The following is a 22,821-nucleotide window of genomic DNA, read 5'->3' on the forward strand; positions in this document are numbered from 1 at the left end:
AGATCCCCAACAGGAAGGAGATACTATGGGAGAAGACAGCACATATCATGCATTTCATAATAAGGCAACCCAAAGCCAATCAACTTATTTTGTAATCAGCCCATCCCCCATGGGAATCTCATCTCTTAGTGTGGGGGGTGGGGATGTTTCTGTGTCCAGAGTTGGTTCCTTCCGGTGGGTTCTTCATCTCACTGACTTCAAGAATGAAGCCGTGGACCTTTGCGGTGAGTGTTACAGCTCTTAAAGGTGGCATGGACCCAAAGAGTGAGCAGCAGCAGGATTTATTGTGAAGAGTGAAAGAACAAAGTTTCCACAGCATGGAAGGGGATGCAAGTGGGTTGCCGCTGGTGGCTGGGGTGGCCAGCTTTTATTTCCTTATTTGTCCCTGCTCACGTCCTGCTGATTGGTCTGTTTTACAGAGTGCTGATTGGTCCATTTTACAGAGCGCTGATTGGTCCATTTTACAGTGTGCTGATTGGTCCATTTTACAAACCTCTAGGTAGCCACAGAGTGCTGATTGGTGCGTTTTTACAGAGCACAGATTGGTGGATTTTACAAACCTCTAGCTAGCTACAGAGCGCTGATGGCTGTGTTTTTACAGAGCACAGATCGGTACATTTTACAAACCTCTAGCTAGGTACAGAGCACTGATTGGTACATTTTACAAACCTCTTGTAAGACAGAAAAGTTCTCCAAGTCCCCACTTGACCCAGGAAGTCCAGCTGGCTTCACCTCTCATTTGCATATCTTTCAGGTGACCAAGAGCATGCTTCTGTGATTCAAATGTACAAAGAGTTAAGTATCCCTCCTTAACTATTAGTTATCTTTTAAAGTATATTTCCTACCTAGTTGTTACATATCAAAGCTCTCATAATATGAAGTAATTTGATACCCCCAAAACTAAAAACTTAGATAACACAGTGTAAAACAGAACAGAGCCTATGATTTTGAGAGGGAACTCTCTGCTTTTAATTCCTAGGGTTTCATGAAGAAAAAAGGTTTTTTTCTGAAAACAGGTTTTTTCCCAAAATAGGGTCTGTGACACCTCCTTTGTTTTTCCCAAGGAGTCCCAGGCTACCAGAATTTATCTTAAGGCCTCTCATGTGTGCTTTAAGAGTGGCAAGACAAAAAATGGAGAAAAATAATTCAGTCGACTGAGAAGGAGAAAAAAATTTCCAGAAAAATAAGATTCAAGAAGAGAAAAATGTAAAGGCCTTTTAAATATACTTGTAACTTGGATATCCACTTTTAATTAAGCTGAGCACTCTTTAAGAAAATCCTTCTAAATCCCTTGTTACTTGACTTTAGCCACACCAAGCAGTTAAGATTTTCGGCTTTTGAACTTTACAAAGAGTAACCTCACAGGTGAAACCAAGAAGTCTTAATTAGGTTATGACTTAACTGCGAGTGTACAAGGAATTTTCAAAGGGGTGATAAGCAGCTTTTGAAACTGTCATTGCATTTGGTTGAAAGTGTGAGACAAGATCAGCAGCTCTTTGCAATGGCATGTAATTTCAGATTATCATATACTTACTGTTGCAAGAGCCTGGTATTCAAAGCTGCTACAGCAATTTGGGGTTCTTGGCTTTGGACTGGTTTCCCAGATGTTATAATTCTTTCTGGGACACTTATTTAGAAGTCTACTGTCAAGGAAGCCACATGTGAACTTCTTTGACTATTCCTAAATCAGGATCATAACCCATTTTCATATGCCACATTATAGTGACTTTAAAATCTTTTAAGTAGAAATGTTTGCTTGGGTAGTGAGACTTTTTAGAAGCAAAAATACTATTTTGTATCTTTTTTGTCAGTTTAGATTATGTTAAACAAGAAGTCTTTTGGATTATACCAGAATTTACTTGGCTCTTTCTGCAAAACTTCTCTAGTCATCAGACCATAGAAAGAGGGCTTGATTAAATTGAATCAAGTAACTTTTTCTATACCCTTCAGTGATTTGACTTTAAGCCACAGTTGGAAGAGAACAGTTTCCTGCCTTTGTCAGGTTCTGGAAAGATTTATTTGTTTCACTACCTATTTCTTCACTTGACACAGAGTAGTGGCACGTTATTGTTTTTTCTTGGAGACTGCAGTGTCTAGAGAAACTCTAATTGTACTTCTCTAGTTGAATCCCAATATTAAAGTCTTTTAAGTATTTTATAAAGGCTTTTAAGTATTATAAAGGCTTTAGCATTTTAAAATCTGACTTTATTCAGAAAACTTTTCCTTTTATAGGAGAATATTAATATTATTTATTTAAAATGAAGGGATATATAGCTGGGAATTATCCTTTAGAAAGTATGTTTTGTAAAGGACTTGTTCTATTTCTGAGTTCTTGTTTCTTTCACATGTTTTAAGAAAGTGCTGAATGATTGATTAAATAAACTTTAGATCGGTTAACACCTGATAGTGAGAAGACTGCTCCTTGGAATTTCTGTTTTAATTTCTCTTTATCCTCTTGTCTAATAACTATGATAGGCAAAATTTATGATCTGTCTCTCTATCTCAACTTACCTTGTTCCAGATGTACATTTTTGATGTCTGTTATTCCAGTTATCATGTATTTAATATAATTTCCTCATTTGCTACAACATGGAAATAGGCTTTTTTACTAAAAATTATAAAGTAATTATGTCTTCTATGTTTATATTCTTAATAATATTGACATATCTGTTAATAATATGTAATGCTAATGAATAATTTAGTTTCCTTAGTGATAGTTTCCATGATGTTATAACTAACATCCCTACCTATGAAAATGTAGGGAGCTGTCTGAAGCCCAGGAAGGTCAGGAAGGTGTTAAGAACCAGGACAATGTATTTAACCTATCACAATCAAAATGCCATTCAGCCTTTGCCCTCAATATTTGACAGCAAATGAATTTGTCATTTTCTCACAAATATCCTGCCTTGAGCTACCACTTGTCTGCCTTGTAACTCATCTTTTCCATGACCTAGTTCTTAACCTGGTTTTTGTCTTTAAGTTGTCACTATAAAATCTCTAACTGGGAGATATCTTTGGTTGCATTGTTCCTCTTATTAGTCTCAACACCTCATATTTATTATTATATCAAAGGGTATGGTCAGGAAGACAAATTGTATTTGCTAGAGGAAAAATAAAATTAGTTCTGTGTGCCCTTGACTCTATATATTTGTAGTGGTTTTGGGGTCAGACTCTGCTTCAAATCCTGCTTCTGCCACTTCTCAAACTCTCTTGTCCCAGGTATAATAATTATAGATAATAGTTATCAAGACCTAACTCTTTGCCAGGTGCTGTGTTACATGATTGATGTGTATCATTTTATTTAATGCTCATGACAGTTTAGGAGGAGAGACAGACCACTAACAGAGGTTAAGTAGTTTGCTGACCATCATGTAGCTGATATCATGTCAGGCAGAGTCAGAATTCAAATGCAGGCTTTCTCGCTCCAGAGAACTGGCAGTGTTAGCTACATGGAGTTTTCCTAGGTATAAAGTAAAAATGATAATATCGTATCTACTTCATAGGATTAGTGTGGTGATTAAGTCATAGAATATCTGAAAAATACATTCTCTTCTGTTTAAAATAAACTTTTATTCACCAAACATTAGCAGACTCTCAGGGAACATTGCTTTTATCCATTAAACAAAGGTGATCTTTGCTGGAAACCCAGTGGCTTTGTGATACAATTCATTATGCTGGACTAAAAAGCAGAAAGCATTATGGCTTTAGGATGACATGGAAAAACATACACTGAAAAGACTGATAGCTGGATGACCCTCCACAGTATCTAGCAGCATCCCACTGGGCTCTGGATCTGCCAGATTCCTCAGCCTATCAGTCTTTGGGATGATGGTGAGAGAAGTAGCTAAAGGAATCAGAATTACAAAAAGTATCCATAGGATGGTGTGATGGCTTGAAAGTACCAGGACTAAAATGAGAGACAACTTTAAATTCTACACTTGTATTAAGTATCTCCCCGAAAAATAGAGAAGTTTGTTTTTAGTAAAGCTCTTACACTTCTAGTCGACTGGAGGCTAAATGGGAATCACCAGTGTGACATGACTGTTAAAGGAGCTAATGAGTCATAGGTAGCATTGTTTTCTAAAATAAGGAAATTAATAGTACACTGCAGTATCAGACCATGTTGCCCAGTCTGTCCTGCAGACTGTGGCAGAGCAACAGATGAAAGGATTTCTCAGACACAGGTATCCAGTAAAAGAGTGGGCTAGGGGACTGCTGGCACTAGGGGCCCAAGAGAGTTAGCAGCCCCCCTAAGCTGGCAACGCTCACATTTATTTAGTACAGATTTAATGACAAAGGCTTGGAGCAAACACAATTTGTGGGTAATAAACATTGTCGACCCCCTGAGTAGAGAGCATCCTAAGCACGAATCATCAAAGGTTGGTTTCTGGAGACAGGAGTAAACAAATTTATCTAGATCGATTTCTTTACATTCCCTTATTATCTGCCCTCACCCTTTGCCAGGGTAAGAACAGCTGCTTTCAGCTCATTCTTCCCTGAAGCTTTGCAAAACCTCCTGGCCTTCCAAGAAGGTTTGCCTTTTTCCCTATAATTTTTATAACTTTTCCTACCAGCCTGACTGATCTCCTACATCTCCCCCTTTTCTGATTTTTGCATCAGGTTTTGTTGATTGAAGAGTATAGATGTGTGCAGCAACAGGTTTGTCAGGTGCCACGGTTATAACTCATGTTCTGGCTTTGCATCCTAGAATTAGTAAATAACATAAGACAAACATGAGTATAATCAGTAACATTCTTTTCTAATCAAGGAGTGACATGTAGTATTACTTGGCACCTCAGTTCAATGTGTGCCGTTACTAAGGAACCCCCCACTAGGGGTATGTTAACCCCTTTCAGCTAAGCAGTTATGTTATTAGAGACTGCCCAAGTAACAGGGTGGAAGAAAGGCAGATCTAAGAGATGAGCCTAATAGAGTGTAGCAGGTGCAGGTTGCAGGCAGAGCGAGAGCATAAAAAGGATAAATACCCTATGAGAGTTGTGATGTACAACAGAGAGTATAGCAAGGAACAGATTATCTGAAGTGAATGGTGTCTGTTTCTGGAGCAGGATTCACTCAGCCTCCTGAGTTGTCTTCTTCAGCATTTCCTAGGTAATGTCCGGGGCTTGTGTCATCCAAGGAAGCTGCATCATCCAGGGCTGCGGGTTCTGCAGGGACATTTCCTTCATTTCTGATACCAGGTTGGGTCCTAGCCACACCATGGTATGGGTTTGATGTGTCGTGCTGGAATCCACAGAGGACCTGAGGGGGTATGAACACAAGCATATTCTCTTCCCCATGTTAGCAATTTGTTTGGACCACTACATACATTACTGTTTACATCTTTCCATAAAACTGCGGGTTTTATGTCTAGAGAGGTTTTAGCAAAGTGCTTTTCTATAGCTAATTGGAATTTATTATTTAAATTTAAAAAATTAAAGGTAAATAAGGCTTGTGCTAGTAGTGTTGCAGGGTCCTTACTCATATTCCCCCTTTTTTGTTTTCTGAGCATATTTTTAAGAGTGGAATGGACACATTCTACTGTGGCCTGCCCTTGAGAGTTATATGGGATGCCTGTGGAATGTTGGATGTTCCACATGTGGCAAAATAGTTGAAATTGTGAGCTGGCATAAGTCGGACCATTACCAGTTTTAATTTTTGTGGGCCACCCCATAAATGCAAAAGTTGAGAGAAGATGTTTAATAACATATTGGTTGGACTTTCCAGGAAGAGCATGTGTGCTAATTAGGTGAGAATAGGTGTCAATGGATACATGTACATATGTAGTTTTAGTTTTCTGAATTCAGGGACATATGTAACATCTGTTTGCCAAAACTGATTAGGTTCTAGTCCTCTAGGGTTAACACTTGTTGAAGGAGGGGACATGCCTGTGAGCTGGCAATCTGGGCATTGCAGGATAATTTGTTTAGCTAGTCTTTGGGTAAGTTGAAATTGTTCAGTTAAGTTCCTCCAGTTTTGGTGGAAAAATTGATGTGATTGGGTGGCTTGGTCAAGCAGTGAGGTCATAACTTGCAGGTCTGCTTGATTATTACTGTAAGCCAGTGGGCCAGGCAGTGAGCTGTGGGCTTGAATATGTGTGATAAAAATAGGACGTGTATGTTGATCCAGCAATTGCTGAAGTTGAAGAAAAAGTGCACACAGGGTGGGCTCAAGAGTGGACTTAATGAGAGCTGTTTCAAGGTTCTGCAATAAATAGAGTAAGCAGAGTCATTAATAATATTGATAGGCTGAACGGAAAAGGTCTCCAGGGCCAATATTAAGGCTCTAACTTCAGCTCTCTGAATGTTAGTAAGTCCAGAACGAGTGAGGGAATTATGTGGTCTCCACCAAACAGCCACTTTTCCATTTTTACCAGAGCTGTCAGTAAAAGGTGTTAAAGCTTTAGGTATGGGGGAGTGAACTACTTTTGTAGGCACAACTACAGGAGTACGAGATAAGAACTGAATTAGTTTGTCAGCAGAAAGGGCATGCTCTATATGGCCTGTATAATCAGAGAGTGTTATCTGAAGATCTAGAGATAGGGGCATTATTGCTTAAAATTGCTTTTTACTTGAAGTAATTCTTATGACATCAGGGTCATAACCTAGCAACTGATTGCATCATCTGTGGCCTGTATAGATGAGTTTACTACCTAGCTGGATATAGGGAGATAGTGTTTTAGTCCCGGTATGTGAGCAAAAATCTCATTCTAGGAAGTATAGCCTTGGGGCCATCTGTCCTATTAATCTTGTTGGGGAATGTTTAGTAGGAAAAACAAACAATTGGACTGAATATTTTGGGTCTGTGCAATCTAGTTGCCTCTGAGAAATAGTATGCTCTATTTCCTTAATTTCCCTTTTTGCTGCAGGAGTTAAATGCCTGAGAGAGTCTAGGGTTGTATTGCCTTTTGGGATAGAAAACAGGTTTTGTAACTTATCAGTAGTTATGTTCAAGGAGGGGCGAAGCCAATTAATATTACCCAGTAATTTTTGATAATCATTTAAGGTGTGTAAGTTGCTAGTATTTAACCTTTTGAGGTCTTATTGACCAGGAAGTTAATATGTATCCAAGATACTTCCAAGGAGAAGACAATTTTACTTTCTCAGGTACTATGATTAAACTTCCTAACTGTGTGTTCTTTATGACAGAGGCATATAAACTTAAAAGTACTGGCTCCACTGGGGCTGCTAGTAAAATATCATCCATAAAATGAATAATCTTGCAATTAGGAAATTTTTTTTCTACTGGGGAGCAAAGCCTGATTTACATGATACTGACACATGGTAGGACTGTTTAGCATTCCTTGAGGAAGTACTTTCCAATGAAATTGGTGAGCTGGCCTTTCATTATTGATAGTTGGTATTGTAAATGCAAATTTTTCTCTGTCCTGTTTTGCAAGGGGAATAGTATAAAAGCAGTCTTTTAAGTCAACAATAACTATAGGCCAATCTTGAGGAATCGCTGTGGGGGAAGGGAGGGCCTGTTGAAGGGGCCCCATAGGTTGCAAATTAGCGTTGATAGCCCATAAGTCATGCAAAAGTCTCCATTTGCAAGATCTTTTGGGAATGACAAAAATGGGTGAATTCCAAAGGCTGTTTGATATTCTATATGGCTGGCTTTAAATTGCTCCTCAACTAATTCATGGGCTCGTAATTTCTCTCCCTTTAAAGGCTACTGTTCTATCCAAATAGGACTTTGAGAGAGCTATGTCAGGGGTAGGGGAGGAATAACAGTGGCCGTTATTAGAAAGGGGTCTGCAGAGTGACCTCAATTAACCCTCTTGTAAATGGGCTAGCGGCTCCATTTTCTCTAATGCTTTTTCTTATCTCTTGATAAGCGTCAAAAGAAATGGGTTCATAGAACTGATTGCCTTGTTGATCTTGTATTACTGGGCAGGCTAAGAGCTCCCCTTCTAATGACACTTGCCTAAGATAGGGTCCCACAGCTGTAGTGTATCCCTTGTCTTTTTTCCAATTTATTGGAGGAGGGGGCTTAGGCAAAACCTGCATTTCCTCTTTGTTATTTTTGCCCAGTAATGGCTTGGCTGAGGGAGAAGGAGGAGGTAGTAAGGTAGGTGATAGTTCTTCCTCCCTTTCCCATTTAGGCTCTTCTGTGTGGAGTGGGATCAAAGCAGCCCTAACTAAAGCCCATAATGTTAGAGTTGTTACTGGGACCCTTTGCCTTTGTGCATGATATTGTTTAAGATTTCTTCCCACTTGTTCCCAGAGTTCTACATCTAGCGTACCTTCTTCTAGGAACCATGGGATATGGGATACAACAGTTTGCATTAGGTCCCTTAATTGAGCCTATGAAACTGAGGCTGTGGTAGCTTTAAGCAGCTGCTTCAATACTTTTATATACTGTTGCTCTTGAGCTGATAACTGTTGTCCCATGATGAAACCCTAGCCTGAATAATTCCCTTAAACTTGGAAATCCCGAGTGGGCACCAATGACTTACTGACTTACTGACTGTGCAGTCTCTTCACTTCCATTTTAGAGGGTTCCATTGTGATCTGTTGCAGTATTCCTCACATGGGGTACCACCTGCCAAGTCTGTCCTGCAGACTCTGGCCAAGCAACAGATGAAAGAAGTACTCAGACACAGGTATCCAGTGAAAGAGCAGGCTAGGGGACTGCTGGCATTAGGGGCTGAAGAGAGTTAGCAGCCCCCGAAGCCGGCGATGCTCACATTTATTTAGTACAGATTTAATGACAAAGGCTTGGAGCAAACACAATTTGTGGGTAACAAACATTGTTGACTCCCTGAGTAGAGAGCAGTCCTGAGTGTGAATGATCAAAGGTTGGTTTCTGGAGACAGGAGTAAACAAATTTATCTAGATAGGTTTCTTTACATTCCCTTATTATCTGCCCTCGCCCTTTGCCCCAGGGTAAGAACAGCTGCCTTCAGCTCATTCTTCCCCAAAGCTTTGCAAAGCTTCCCGGCCTTCCAAGAAAGTTAGTGTCTTTCCCTATAATTTTTATAACTTTTCCCACAACCCTGACCGATCTCCTACACCATGTCTAGCACATTTTCACCACATCTCAAGTCTATATTCTTGAAGGTTCATTGGCCATTTGATTATATTTGGAGGCCAGACCACTTGAATAAAGGCTTTTCTGACCATTTTATTTCAGGAATTGTTCAATCTGGGTTTTAGCTTGGGGAATATTATCACTATCTTCAAATACTTGAAGAGCTGTCATGTATAATTGGGAGTAGACTTAATCTGTATAGTGCTGGAGCACAGAAAGAGGAAGGATGAATGGATCATAGTTATAGAGCTTCAGTTGGGGCTTAATATAAGCAATAACTTTTTAACTGTTAGAGCCACGTAAAACTAAAGTGCCTGCTTTGTTGGTAAAGCAATGAGTTCCTTACTGGTAGAAGTGTTCGAGAAACTGTGAGATAGACTGCCTATCAGGGAGAATATAGATAAGATTTCTGCTTTGAGTGATTGGTTAAACCTTCTGACTTCTAATACCTCTACCTAGTCCAAAATTCTTTAGTATTACAAAAAAGATACAAGTGTTTGCAATAGAGCAAAGTATTGCCTCAAAATGAAATCTAAATGAAGAGAAAATGGGTTCTACTACAAAAATTACCTTTTCAAGAGATGTTCACTCATATATGGAATTGCAAAGAAAAAAAATGTAGGTATCATAGAAGCAGAGAGTAGAACAGTGATTACCAGAGATAGGAAGGTGAGGGGGAGGAGAGAATGGGGAGAGGTTGGTCAAAGAGCAGAGAGTTACAATTAGATAGGAGGAGTAAGTTGTGGTGTTCTATTGCACAGTAGGGTCATGATGGTTAACAGTAAGGTATTGTATATTACACAATAGCTAGAAGAGAGCCTTTGAATGTTCTCATCACAAAGAAAGGATAAATGCATGAGTTGATGGATACACCAAATACCCTGACTTGATCATTATGCAATATATATATGTATCAAAACACTAAATTGTACCCTGTAAATATGTAGAATTACAATATGCCAATGAAAAATTTAAAAATTTCATTTTAATGTATAAATAGGAATGTGAGTTCATTCTTTTAAGGTGAGACTACAAATGTCAGAGAAACCAGATGTGTGGGTCAGCTAAAATAGTTTCCCCGAGGAATACAAAATGATCAGAAGGGTCCAGGGTGAGTGTGAATCTGAATAAGGGAAATGGGTGCACTACTGAGTGGCTAATGACAGCAGGTTCTAATGTATCCATGTTCACAAAAGGGAGATGTCTGGTAGGCAAACTGAGTCTACACACTGGCTTCACGTTAGGTACAGGAAAATATGGTTACTGCTAAGAAACCCCCATACTCTTTGTTTTCTAACCTTTTTTTTTCAAATTAAATGCATTAAAAAATAATACCTTCTACCTTTTCTACATTATGTAATTATTTAATCTACTTCCCTACATATACTTGACAAATTATTGAGATGGCATCTTAATATTTTCTGCTTAGCTCATTCTGGGAGAAGACCTTCTTTTCCTCTTAAAAATTATCTTGTGTGCTTATCCCTTTCAGGAAAAATCACAGAACAAATTCCTCAGTCACAATCTCTCCTGGGAGATAAACTGTGAATAGAATGACTCTTCTTTTACTTGTTCTGTCATATTGCCAAATAGAACACAGAGCGTATTCACATATTATGTATTTTGTTTAGAAGCTCAGCTATCAAAGACTTGAGCTATACAAATTTCCCGGAGAAGGTATTTTGACCCCTTCCATATGCTACCTCATTTTCCCTGGCCAATGATATCCTTAATCTATTATTCTAAAGCAGATTAACAGATCTCATTTTTAAATTCTTATTATAAAGTTGAATAAATACTATGCAGTTAAAGGAGTTGCATCATAAACCACCTCAATGTTTAGAAGCTTGAAACAGCAGCCATTTTATTTGATTGCTGATCTGTGGGCCAGCAATTCAGGCTGGGCTTAGCTGGATATTCTTTTGCCCATCTCAAGCAGCTGTTTTCTGACATGCTTTAAGATGACCTTACTCACACGTTTGGTGGTTCTGGCTGTTTGCAGGACTACAAGTCTCTGGTAGGCTTTGCAGGTTTGTTTACATGGTGGCAGCCTTCTAAAAGTAGCAAGAAAGAGTTCCCAGCACCAAGAGGGCAAGATCCAGTGCAGGAGCAATTCTTAAACTTCTGTTTGTGTCATGTTGGCTAATACCTCTTTGGCCAAAGTAAGTCCCATGGCCAAGTTCACAGTCTGTGAGGAAGAGGGCCATGTAGGGTCATGGATACAGCGAGGTGTAATACACTAGGAGTCACTGCTGTAGCCTGTATCACAGTTTGCACATGAATTTATAGGTTGGTGCAAAAGTAATTGTGGTTTTTGCCATTACTTCCAGTGGCAAAAACTGCAATTACTTTTGCACCAACCGTGTGTGTGTGTGTGTGTGTGTGTGTGTGTGTGTGTGTGTGTGTGTATGGTTGGCATTTAATATTTGGCTTTGATCAACATAGTATGAGGATTTACTTTATATATAAGTAACAAAGAGTAGTGTGAACAGGAGGGAATTAATCTACATTGAGAACTTATGATATGCCAAGAACTTTACATATGTTATCTCATTTAATTTTGTAAACTCAGAGTGAAAAAAACTGAGATACAAGGAAGGTAAATAACTTGTCCAAGGTCACAGTTAGCACTTTACACTCCAGTCTATGGGACTCAACAAGCATTAAAAAAATCAAAAAAGAACAGAATAAAAAATATCAGTAATGCATATATTAATAATAGGTACTTTTTCATAAACTGTATTTGCTTTTTTGTGTTGGCTCACAATGCATAATAGAATTCTTGCCATGAATTGTTTGTTTTTGTTTTTAAACTGGAAAGCCACTGTTACCCCATATAGACTCCCATAAGCATGTGAAACCAGAATGGTCAGAACCAGAGGGGATTAAAAGTATATCATGGCTGAATGGGGTGGCTCACACCTGTAATCCCAGCACTTTGGGAGGCCTAGGCGGGTGGGTCACTTGAGGTCAGGAGTTTGAGGCCAGCCTGGCCAACATGGTGAAACCCCGTCTCTACTAAAAGTACAAAAATTAGTCAGGTGCAGTGGTACACGTCTGTAGTCCCAGCTATTCGGGAGGCTGAGGCATGAGAATCGCTTAAACCCGGGATGTGGAGGTTTCAGTGAGCTGAGATGACGTCACTGCACTCCAGCCTGGGCGACAGAGTGAGACTCCGTAACAACAACAACAACAACAACAACAACAACAACAACAACAACAGCATATCATTAGTTTCCCAATCCTGATTTAGCTGAAAGGTGTACCATGACTACTATATTACATTGAGATAGTGTTTTCATCAGATGAACACCTGACTCTTTCCACTGCAGTTAATCTCCTTTTATCAGTATCTGCTAACATTTCTTTGTGACTTACAGAAAATCATTATCATAGGGAGAGATTTGAATTCTGGGTGGAATAAATTAGAACATCAATTTCCCCTATTGATAGACCCTTGTAGGAACCAATAACTAGTACAAGAGACACTTAAACAATTTGGATGTAATGCCTTGTGTTTGAACCAAAGCATTTATTACTCAAATATTTAGTCCAAAGAGGTAAAGGAAAAGTATTATTTTGTAATCTGTTTTTTTTTGTTAATCTCATTTGTCTTCAGTCATGCAAAATGGAACGTTTGTTTTAAAATCAGCCCACATACCGAAATGTCTTTTATTTGCAAAATGAAACCATGCCATTAAATGTTGAAGGAGAAAGATTCTTTTAAAGAAATATCAATGAAATGGGAGCATTTCCAATAGAAATTTGAGCTGAAATAAGTTCCTGTGTGATGGCTTTATTTGCAACTTCTCTCTTTGAGATTTTTTTTTGTACTTACCTAACATGCATAAAGATTGCATATTAATAAACTAGGAATCATTTGATAGAAAACAATGGGAGGGAAATGTCCATAAGTTCCTACATATCTCTACATGCAAAGAGGTCAAACGGTTGCTTGAAATTCTCAAGAATGTTTTATAGATTGAATAGAGATTTTTTTTAAAGCCGTTATCTTCTGTGCTCACCAAGTAAAGTGTGGGCTAGAAAGTTATTTTAAAGTCATTTTATTGCAAGAAAAACAGCAGGATCCTGCCAAAGCCCAAAAGCCAGTAAAATTGCAATGAAACATTGAAAATTACAAGGTCAAAGCTTTATATTCATATGAAAGTAATATTTGAACCAAAAAAGGTGATATACTTTTAAAAAAATTTGGCCTATTCCAAAGAAACACTGAAAAACAAAATAGCTGGGTTATTTATCATTGTATATTTTGATTGTTACCCCAAATTTAAGAAATTATTAGTGAAGAGCATAACTTTTTACATATTAATTATGATAGTTATTCATTTAAAAAGTGCTTGCAAAAAATAATTGTGGATGATTATTTCTTACTGATTTTATTTTCAAATGTTTGTGTATGGAACATTGTTTTGGAAGGAAAGATTTAGCAGCATCACTCAGCTTATAATTAGTGTCAGATATGTTAATAAAAACTAATCAAGATGTTGGTAAGCAAATGCTAGAAACTGAAAATGAAGGTGATTAAAAGAAAGTAATTTCTGAAACAAGCTAGGATTAACTGAGGATGGAATCCCAACAGGATTTCTGCTTTTGTTCATTGGCCTTGCCCGTCACTGCTAACATAATATGTCATGCTGAAAGAACAAACCTTCACTGAGGGGTCCAGAGGACATACTTCAAGTTGAAAGTTCTATGTTTGTTGGTTCAACAATGCTGAGTTAATTACATTTTATAATTCTGCTATACTTGAATTCTAAATTGCAGTCCCACGTCTTGTCTTAAATTGTTATTATTATTTTTTTGGTCACACATTTTATTGGGAAAGAATCAAAGTCTGAATGAATGATATTTATTCTAGTGGGCTCTGAGATGTAATACACCAGGAAAGAAAAATTACTGATTAAAGTGAAGAAAATGACTATGAAGTTATTCTGTTCAGTTGTCTTAACAAAGATGAATGTGTTTTAATTAATTTTTTTGTGTAAATGTAAATTGTTAATGTTAAAATGATAGAGGTTAAAAAAATCAACTGATTACAGAAATTTTTGAAAATACAGAAAAATATAAAGAAGAAATAAAAATCATCTACAGTTAATGTACTTAGAAGTACTCATGATTAAGTTTTTGATATAAAGTATTTTTCTTTTCCTTTTGCATTCTCTTTTAAATGATAGTATAACTGGATATAGGATTAGAATTTGACTATTATTTTCCATCAGCACTTTGAAGACATTACTTTGTTGTCCTATGGCATCTATTATTGCTGATGTCTTTATGATTTTTTTCCTTCCATTACTGCTTTTAAGATCTCCTTGTATTTGAAGTTCTGCACTTCACTACAGTACATCTAAATGTGGATTTCTTTTCATTTGTCTTCCTTAGAACTTCGTGGTATTCCTAAATTTTAGAATCAATATCTTTCAGACTATTGGAAAATTCTCAACCATTATCTCTTTAACTATTACCTCTCACTTCTGTAACATCCTTTCTGGAATTTCAATGAGACATAAATTGAACCATCTCATCCTATTCTCAGTTTCTCTTAATCATTCTGTCTTATCCTTCACCTTTCTATTTCTCTGTGCATATTGATGTTATCCACAGGTGTTTTCCAGTTCACTAATTCTCTTTTCAGAACTCCAAACTGAACTTCTGCTGTTTAACCTACCAATTAGATTTTAAATTTAAGGCTATATTTTTTTATTTCCATAAGTTTTATTTTATTCTTTTTTAAGTCATATTTTCTCCCTTCTATACAGTTATGGGCTAAAGGGCTAAATCATGTCCCCATCTCCCAAATTCTTTCGTTGAAGCCCCAGCCCCCAGTATCTCAGAATGTGATTATATTTGGCTACAGGGTCTTTAAAGAGATGATTAAGGTAAAATGAGGTCATATGGATAGGCCCCAATCCAATATGACTTGTGTCTTTATAAGAAGAGTTAAGGCACCAGACACAAGCACACATAGAGAGAAGACAGTGTGGAACACACACCAAGAAGGTGGCCATCTGCCAGTCAAGGAGAGAGCCTCAGAAGAAACCACACCTGCCAACACCTTGATCTCAGACTTCTAGTCTCCAGAACTGTGAGAAAATAAATTTCTGTTGGTTTAGTTACCCAGTACATGGGATATTTCTTATGGCACACTCACCAAGTCATGCACATGCTAGAGTGATTTTTTAATGTGACTTTTATCATTTTTTGATGTCTTTAATTCTGTTTAACATATTTTAATCTATTTTCTAGCTTTTTATTTCTGTTATCTTGTCCCTATGATACTCACATTGTCTTGTTTAGAATGTACATTTTACTGTGAATTAACCTCTCAATGAAGCTTTTAGTTAGTTTTTTTTTTTTCCCTTGGGAGTCTTATGTGCCCTGAGTCAGTTGAAAACATATTAATCTAATGGACAAAAAATTGAGTATTATTTTAATTTGTGTTATTTTAGGTACTAATGAGTTAGAACTTTTTCATGTGCTTGTTAGCATATGCATTTCTTCTTTCGTAAAGTTAGGAGCAGTGTTCATATTTATCCCTATAAAATAAAAACATGTACATTAATCATGGACTACATTTTGTTCTGATGATTCAGTGTTATTGATTTCTGAGCTCTGTAATATCTGCAAGTTATAAGTCTTTCTTGGCTTCCTCCAGGAAGTTGAAAATTAATATTTATTTCTATATTTGTCAGGAAAACACATGAATGTTTGAAGATGGGGTGGGATCTTGTTTTTAACTCTATATAATATCTGCAGTTAATCATGGCAAACCACCAGTTTCAATTTGTCAGGGTATTGTTATCATATTCTAATTTTGTATCAACTAAAATAATATATTTCTTTTTGGTTGAAATGCCTTTAGAATCTTAGAACAAGCCTTAGGAAAGACATTACTACCTATGGAAAACATGAAAATTTGAAATATTGTAATAGAAAGGTTTCATTTAAATATCTTTTTATAATAGAGTAAAATAAGATACTGTGTGGTAATAAGCCTTCACAGAATTGGGCACGTTGGATTCACCTATATATTAAAAAATGTGTGTATGTATTAGATGCCTGGCAGCATCTAGTAAAATGAGATCTACATGTGTGAATTTGTGTTATTTAACCCTTGGCTTAAAAGTACCACTCACAGAAGTAGAAGTGTGAGTGTTAAGGTTTTGCTTATGTCCATATATATCACACACATTTTTCATATTTTAATGACCAAAAATTTGGCAGTGTTACAATTAAATTACATTCATATGGTAGTGCTTTATTTCTTCTCCTTCAGGAAAGCTGTTATTAAATTGCAGCAAATTAGAATGAAAGTATGTAGTCTTGAGAACATATGGACTGTAATGCATTGGAAAATTCTACAAAGAACAGCATGAAGTATTTCAATGGTTAGCAATGGGAATTGCATGGTGATAGGTTGGGGTGTGTCAGTAAGAGTTTTGTGGGTACAATGTATATTATTTGGGTGATGGATACCCTAAAAGCCTCTGATTTCACCACGCTGCACTGTATCCATGGAACAAAATTAATGTTTACCCCATAAATTTATACAAATATTAAAAAACAAAATGAAATAAATATGAGGCTGCTCTGAATGATCGTTGGTATTTTGCAAAACGTTTACAAGTATGTATTTAAGTGTTTGCTAAACATAATACGTAAATAAGAAACCACTGCTTTTTAATTATAAGCACCTTTTCCTTATGAGTTTCTAAGTTGTAGATAGGAAATAGCTGTCACCTCAGAACACAACTACAGTTGATAGGTAGTGACTAAGTGGGGCAATGTTTTCAAAAGGATTCAAAAACCCTCCCTATACTCAGTGAGAAACTATCATTTTTCAATAAGTTATGTTTACTGTGGGCAAGGGAAAAGGGAGCGGTGGTACCAGTATGAGGCATTTACTGACTCTTCTCCAAGTGCTAATAAGATAGCACATGTCATGTTCAATTTTTTATTGGTCCTGATGAAATATTTAAAAAGTAGGTTTACAAATAGATAAAACTTTATGCCTTCCAACTTTATATTTCTGGGACAGGTTTTCAGAATCTGTTCCTCTTGGGCGTATGTTTATATTATTCATTGCTTTCTAGTCACTGTGCTTGATTCAGACCTCCCTGGAATGGGAAGTAGGCTGACAGGTAGTTTTGCAGTTATGCTTTCCTGATGACTCATTTGTATTTGAAATTTAGTTTTGGTTTCATAAATATAAGACCTAGAATCTCTCTACTGCTACATTTTTTTTTAAACGGCAATCTTATTCTACATTCTATAATTTGTTCTACCCGTGGCTGGTTTCTCTCTTTTTTCAAAGAATGGTTGATATCTGTGAAAGCAGAGTAACATTTGGATATTAGAAATTTCAATTGCAAGATTCCAATCAGAGATCGATGACCTCTTTTAATTCAAATGTATTTATTTTTCTGGACAATTGTTTTCTCTGTTAGGGGATGCTGTACTTAGCTGTTTAAGCCTTATGAGAATGTCATAGCTCTTGTTAGGAATCCTAGATCCATAAAATCTGTTCCTCTGTTCCTCCAGATAATTATTATTAATTATTGTTATTATTTTAATTTATGCCTAAAATTTTAGCCTCAAACAATAATCTGGAGTAATTGATCTTCATTTAAGAACTTAGATCTTAAAATCTGTCTTATCTTGTGGATCAGTGGCATTTTCTGACTCTGAAACAAATGTTTATTTCTGTGTTATTTCTGCATACCTTCCATACAATGCCTTTGAATAAGACAGTGACTGTATTATCTACTAGCTCTCAGATGGCATTTTAGACTATATTTCTAAAATGGGAAACATGCCCTTTGGTAAGATTTAAGCTAGTACATAAATCAAGGCCAGCATTTCCTAATATGGAAGCTGATCTGCCTTAGGAAATATTAATTATAAGAAAATTGATTTAAAAAACTCTTAAAGATAGTTCTTGAAGTAGAGGATATTAGAGCAATGGATCATCATCCTTTAGTCTAGAACTCTGTCATTCCTGGCAGCTGTTAACCATCTGCCTGCTTTCAACCCACGTGAAAAATGTAGATGAGCACAGGAATTGAGGGTCAAATGAATCTGAGGTCTTTTTTCTTGCAGTTTAAAAACTTAGACTTTACACTATTTTATTATCCAAAAATGACTTTAAGGTAACTCCAGATTTCCTTTTAAGATACTATCATGGGACATTTCACTATCCTTTGAAGTTTTAGAAAAAAGATGGAATTGAGCACTACTGGCTTTTAATCTAAAAGGAGAGGGCATTTATAAAGTGATCTTGTATTTTAATGTTTTCATACCTCACACCGTAAAAGATTTTTTATATAACTTATGATATCATGGTCCATTCCTCTGAAATATATACATTTAATAGGATTTGTGTGCCTCTTTAATTCTTTAACATTAATTAGGATTTAGTGTGCTGGATCTTTCATCCAAAGATCTCAAAGCATCTTGCCTGTCTATATTAGCTCATTATTTTTTCAGTATGTCCCTGTGAGGTAGCTGTTAAGTATTATTCCTTATTTTACAAATGAGGTACAGATGAAGCTGAGAGAGGCATAAGAGACCTGCCCAAAGTCCCCGAGCATGTTAATATTAGAAAAGCAATAAAGGCACAGTTCTCTGATTTGAGAGATTTTCAACCTTTCCTTGGAATATATCCCTAATTCCATTCTAAAATGCTACATTGTCCATGGAAATTAGCATATTATTATACGCTGGTGCTTTAGGGAATTAAAGTGGACTTAAGAATTTAATAAAATATCACTGTGTCTCTACTATACTTTGATTAGGTTTTCAGGGAAATATGTGTGATCAGTGTCCTGTCACACAAAGCTAGGTATTTCCGTTTGCCCTGTCATATGGGGAGCACTGAAAGAGGGCCTCAGAAATAGTAGCCAGAGAATATGGTGACTGCAAGTGTGGGTGACACTAGCGATGATTTTCTTACTGGTGGAGAACCTTGCAAGCTCAGAGGTTTCTCTTTTAATGATCAAGTCATGCATCCTTTAAATTCCTCCAATTATAAAGTCGTCGGAATGTTAGTATTATTAGGGGCCTTAGGATTTTCTGAGAAAAACTTCCACACAATATAGGATTTTGTTTCAAAATATCCTTGACAAATCGTCACATAGTCTCCATTTGAGCACCTCGGGAGATAAGAAATTGTCCAAGAAATTTTGTTCCACTGGATAATAATTGTAATAACCAATCCACAAATATTTATTGTTATCTATCTATCTATCTATCTATCTATCTATCTATCTAATCTATCTCTGTCTATCTATCTGTCCAAAATGAAAGAAATATAAGATATTGTCCCTGACCTCCTCAAGGACCTCGGCCAAGTAACTTGATTTCAATCTGTTTCCTAATGTATATAATGAGGAACTGGCTTGTTTTGAGGATTAAAGGAATCAAATATAAAGCACTTAGGAAAGAGACTGCTACATAATATATGCTCAGTAAATATTAGTTCTAATTATTATCTACGGACAAAATGAGAGAGAGAGAGAGAGCAAGAGTGAGAGCAAGAGAGAGATTGCTTATTACATCTTATTTTGTTTTCCATACTATCATCTTAAATGAGACCGTCATCCATTCTCATTTGAATGACGGCAGCAGCCTCCAAACTGCTCTCTCCGTTTCCAGTCTCAGCCTTTGTGACCCATTTTCCACACTGAAGCCAAACTGAACTTAATGCAAGTTTGGGAGGCCTAGGCGGACGGGTTGCTTGAGCCCAGGAGTTTGAGACCAGCCTGGGCAACATGGTGAAACCCCATCTCTACCAAAAAATATACAAAAATTAGCTGGGAGTGGTGGCACATGCCTGTAGTCCCAGCTACTCAGGAGGCTGAGGTGGGAGGATCACTTGAGCCTGGGAGGTGGAGGTTGCAGTGAGGTAAGATCGCACCACTGCACTCCAGTACACTCCAGTCTGGGTGAATGAGTAAGATCCTGTCTCCAAAAAAAAAAGGCAAGTCTGAGCATAATAACCACTGTCTTAAAATTCATTGCTCTCCATGTACTTCCGAATTAGTTTATTTTAATTTTAACTTAATTTAATTAATTTGTTTAATTTAGAGATGAGGTCTCACTGTATTGCCCAGGTTAGAATGCAGTGGTGTGTTTCTAACTGCAGCCTCCATTTCCCAGGCTCAAGTGATCTCCCACCTCAGCCTCCCAAGTAGCTGGGACTACAGGTGCATGCCATCCTGCCTGGCTAATTTCTTTTTTGTTTTTTAAACTTTTTGTAGACACGGGTCTCACCATGTTGCCCAGGCTGGTTTCGAACTCCTGGGTTCAAGCAATCCTTCCATCTCAGCCTCTCAAAGTGTTGGGATTATAGGCATAAGCCACCATGCCCAACCTGACTGCTTCTTCAGGCTTGTTTATACCACATATGTCCTCTGACTTTGTGTCCAAATTCTGAAATAGACAGTGTTCCAGCTCTCCATGCTCTCTCAGGTATGCATGTGTCCAGGTCTGGCCCAGGCCCCCAGCTTCACTTCCTGCTTGAGCTGTGGCACAAGTTGCATTATTGGACCCCATTTTGCTTCCTTTCCTCAGGCTATGTTCGACTCATCATTCAAGGTTTGGTTTATATGCCAACTCCAAGAAGTCTTCCCTGATCCCTTAGGTGTAATAACCTTTATGTCCTTGTTCATCTTTAAACCCAAGAGGCTTGAGGTTAAAGACTACATCTTGTTCACTGGTATTTCCCCAGAGTCCAAATCTTGGCACAAGGAAGATACTCACTAAATATATATTGAATGAATAACAATACACAGCAGTGTGGAACAAATGTTCAGTAGTTCAGACAAAAAGTGCAAGAAAAGCTACAGAAAGTAGACACTGCCTTGATTATGTAGGCAGAGAAAAGGTCACATAAATGTGATACTTTAGCTAAAGTCTTTTGCTTGGTCTTTCTGGAATAAAGACATTCAAGTAAACCTCTAGGGCATCAGTTAGACAAACTGTAGTCTTTGTGCCAGAATGCAATCCCAACTGAGCTACTTCCTGGCTATAAAATATTGTACATCTGTAAAATGGATGTTATAGTAACACCTACTTTACAGATGTGTTGAGAGAATTTTATAGTATGAAATGTGAAACACCTGGCACAGTGCCTGGCACATAATGGATGCTCAACAACGGGTGTTTGTTACACTTATCATTATCACTTGTACTATATGCCTCAGCTCAATTCAAGGGATCCTTAACTCTTTCAAGGGACAGATTACATAGATGTAAGCATTTCCTAAGCCTAATGATTGAGCACACATATATCCCTGGTGCACTAGACTCTTGTGTTAGGGTTTGGGATTGAGAGGAGAGACTTGGAGAAGATGGAGGGGGGTGGAAGATATGAGGAGAAAATGGGAGGGAGGTGAAAAAAACATCACTATGTATCTATCTCAGGCAGGCAGCAGATATAGAATTGTTTATATTAAATTAAAAACCACCTATAATTCAGACTTTTTGTCTCTTTTTTCTATTTTTTTGAGACAGGGTCTCACTCTTTTGCCCAGGCTGGAGTGCAGTGGTACAATCTTGGCTCACTGCAGCTTCAACCTCCAGGGCTCAAGTGATTCTCCCAACTCAGCCTGTTCAGTAGATGGGACTACAGGCATGTGCCACCCTACTCACCTAATTTTTGTATTTTTTGTAGAGACAAGGTTTTGCCATGTCGTACAGGCTGGTCTTGAACTCCTGGGCTCAAGTGTTCCACCCACCTCAGCCTCCCATAGTGCTGGGATTATGGGTGTGAGCAACTGTGTCTGGACAAGATTTTTATTTTCTTTCAAAGCTCATGAGAATGTTTTCATGAGAATGGAGATGTTAATGTAGAATATTTTGATGTTCTTAATCCTGCTAAGTCAGGGACCAACCTGAGTCCATGGAAGGCCTATAAATGTCTTCTGGTTCAGGTCAGCAATGCCAAATTTCATACTTGCAACTTGTCTGTTTTTGAGGAAAGGGACCATCGTATTAAAAGTTTCCATGCTCTTTCCAGAGGTAAAGAAACATTGTTATTTTTGTGCTTTCTCCAGTCAGAACTAAGGCAGTAAGCTACATCTCTGAGGAATGGAGGCATGTTTATTAATAATAGACCCCTTAAAATATTTGGTGACTATAGAATATCATGATTCAACAAGAAAAGTCTTTATCTTATATTCCTATCTCTCATTATAATAAAAAAGAGTTTCCTAAGTGATTTTAAGCCTAGCATTTGATGATGGCCAAAATTTTTTTCCCATGGAATAACTTTTGTGCAATCTTTAAGCTTTGTTATTTTGGAGGATCAGAGATTGGAAAGCAAAACAAACATGCAAATAAACAACATCAACAAAACAGTAGTAAAATCCAGGATTTTGTTTATTAGCAATAGTTACATGGTCCAAACATTTCATATAGTTTTTTCTTTTTTATCTAGTAGTGTATTTTATAGCTACTATTCCTTTTCAATTAATTGAAAGAAAGGTTTATAATTATCCTTTTCTCATAGTGAATATATATGCTCAAGAGAAATCATGTTTTGCATTTATTTATTTAACATATTATGTTTGATGGAAAATGGTCTTCGTTGGACTGGGAAGAGGAATTGGGATGGGAGATGAAGGAGGAAGTGAACTTTTGATGAGTGCCTATTGTGTGCTAGAAGCACTACCTGTGATAATGAGAATATCATGTGTTATCTCATCCAATCCAACAGCAATCTTATATGTTAGAAGCATTATCTTTATTATAGGTGAGAAAATTGAAGCT

The 22,821-nt window shown here is 37.2% G+C and overlaps 1 protein-coding gene across 10 annotated transcripts in view, besides 1 other annotated feature; it reads left to right on the plus strand.

The window, feature by feature from the left end:
- The window catches only part of TMEM117 (transmembrane protein 117), a 603,307-nt gene that overhangs the window by 176,354 nt on the left and 404,132 nt on the right, over positions 1–22,821 (plus strand). The gene's annotated exons all lie outside the window — the stretch shown is intronic.
- Positions 7,251–7,882: an enhancer, noted in NCBI's record as "OCT4-NANOG hESC enhancer chr12:44373209-44373840 (GRCh37/hg19 assembly coordinates)". NCBI's record gives its function as "activates a minimal SCP1, AML or CMV promoter by ChIP-STARR-seq in naive and primed H9 embryonic stem cells {active_cell/tissue: H9 hESC(naive and primed)}" and the evidence as "EXISTENCE:reporter gene assay evidence [ECO:0000049][PMID:30033119]".

The sequence above is a fragment of the Homo sapiens genome, chromosome 12 (assembly GCF_000001405.40).
Source record: "Homo sapiens chromosome 12, GRCh38.p14 Primary Assembly".
NCBI lineage: Eukaryota > Metazoa > Chordata > Mammalia > Primates > Hominidae > Homo > Homo sapiens.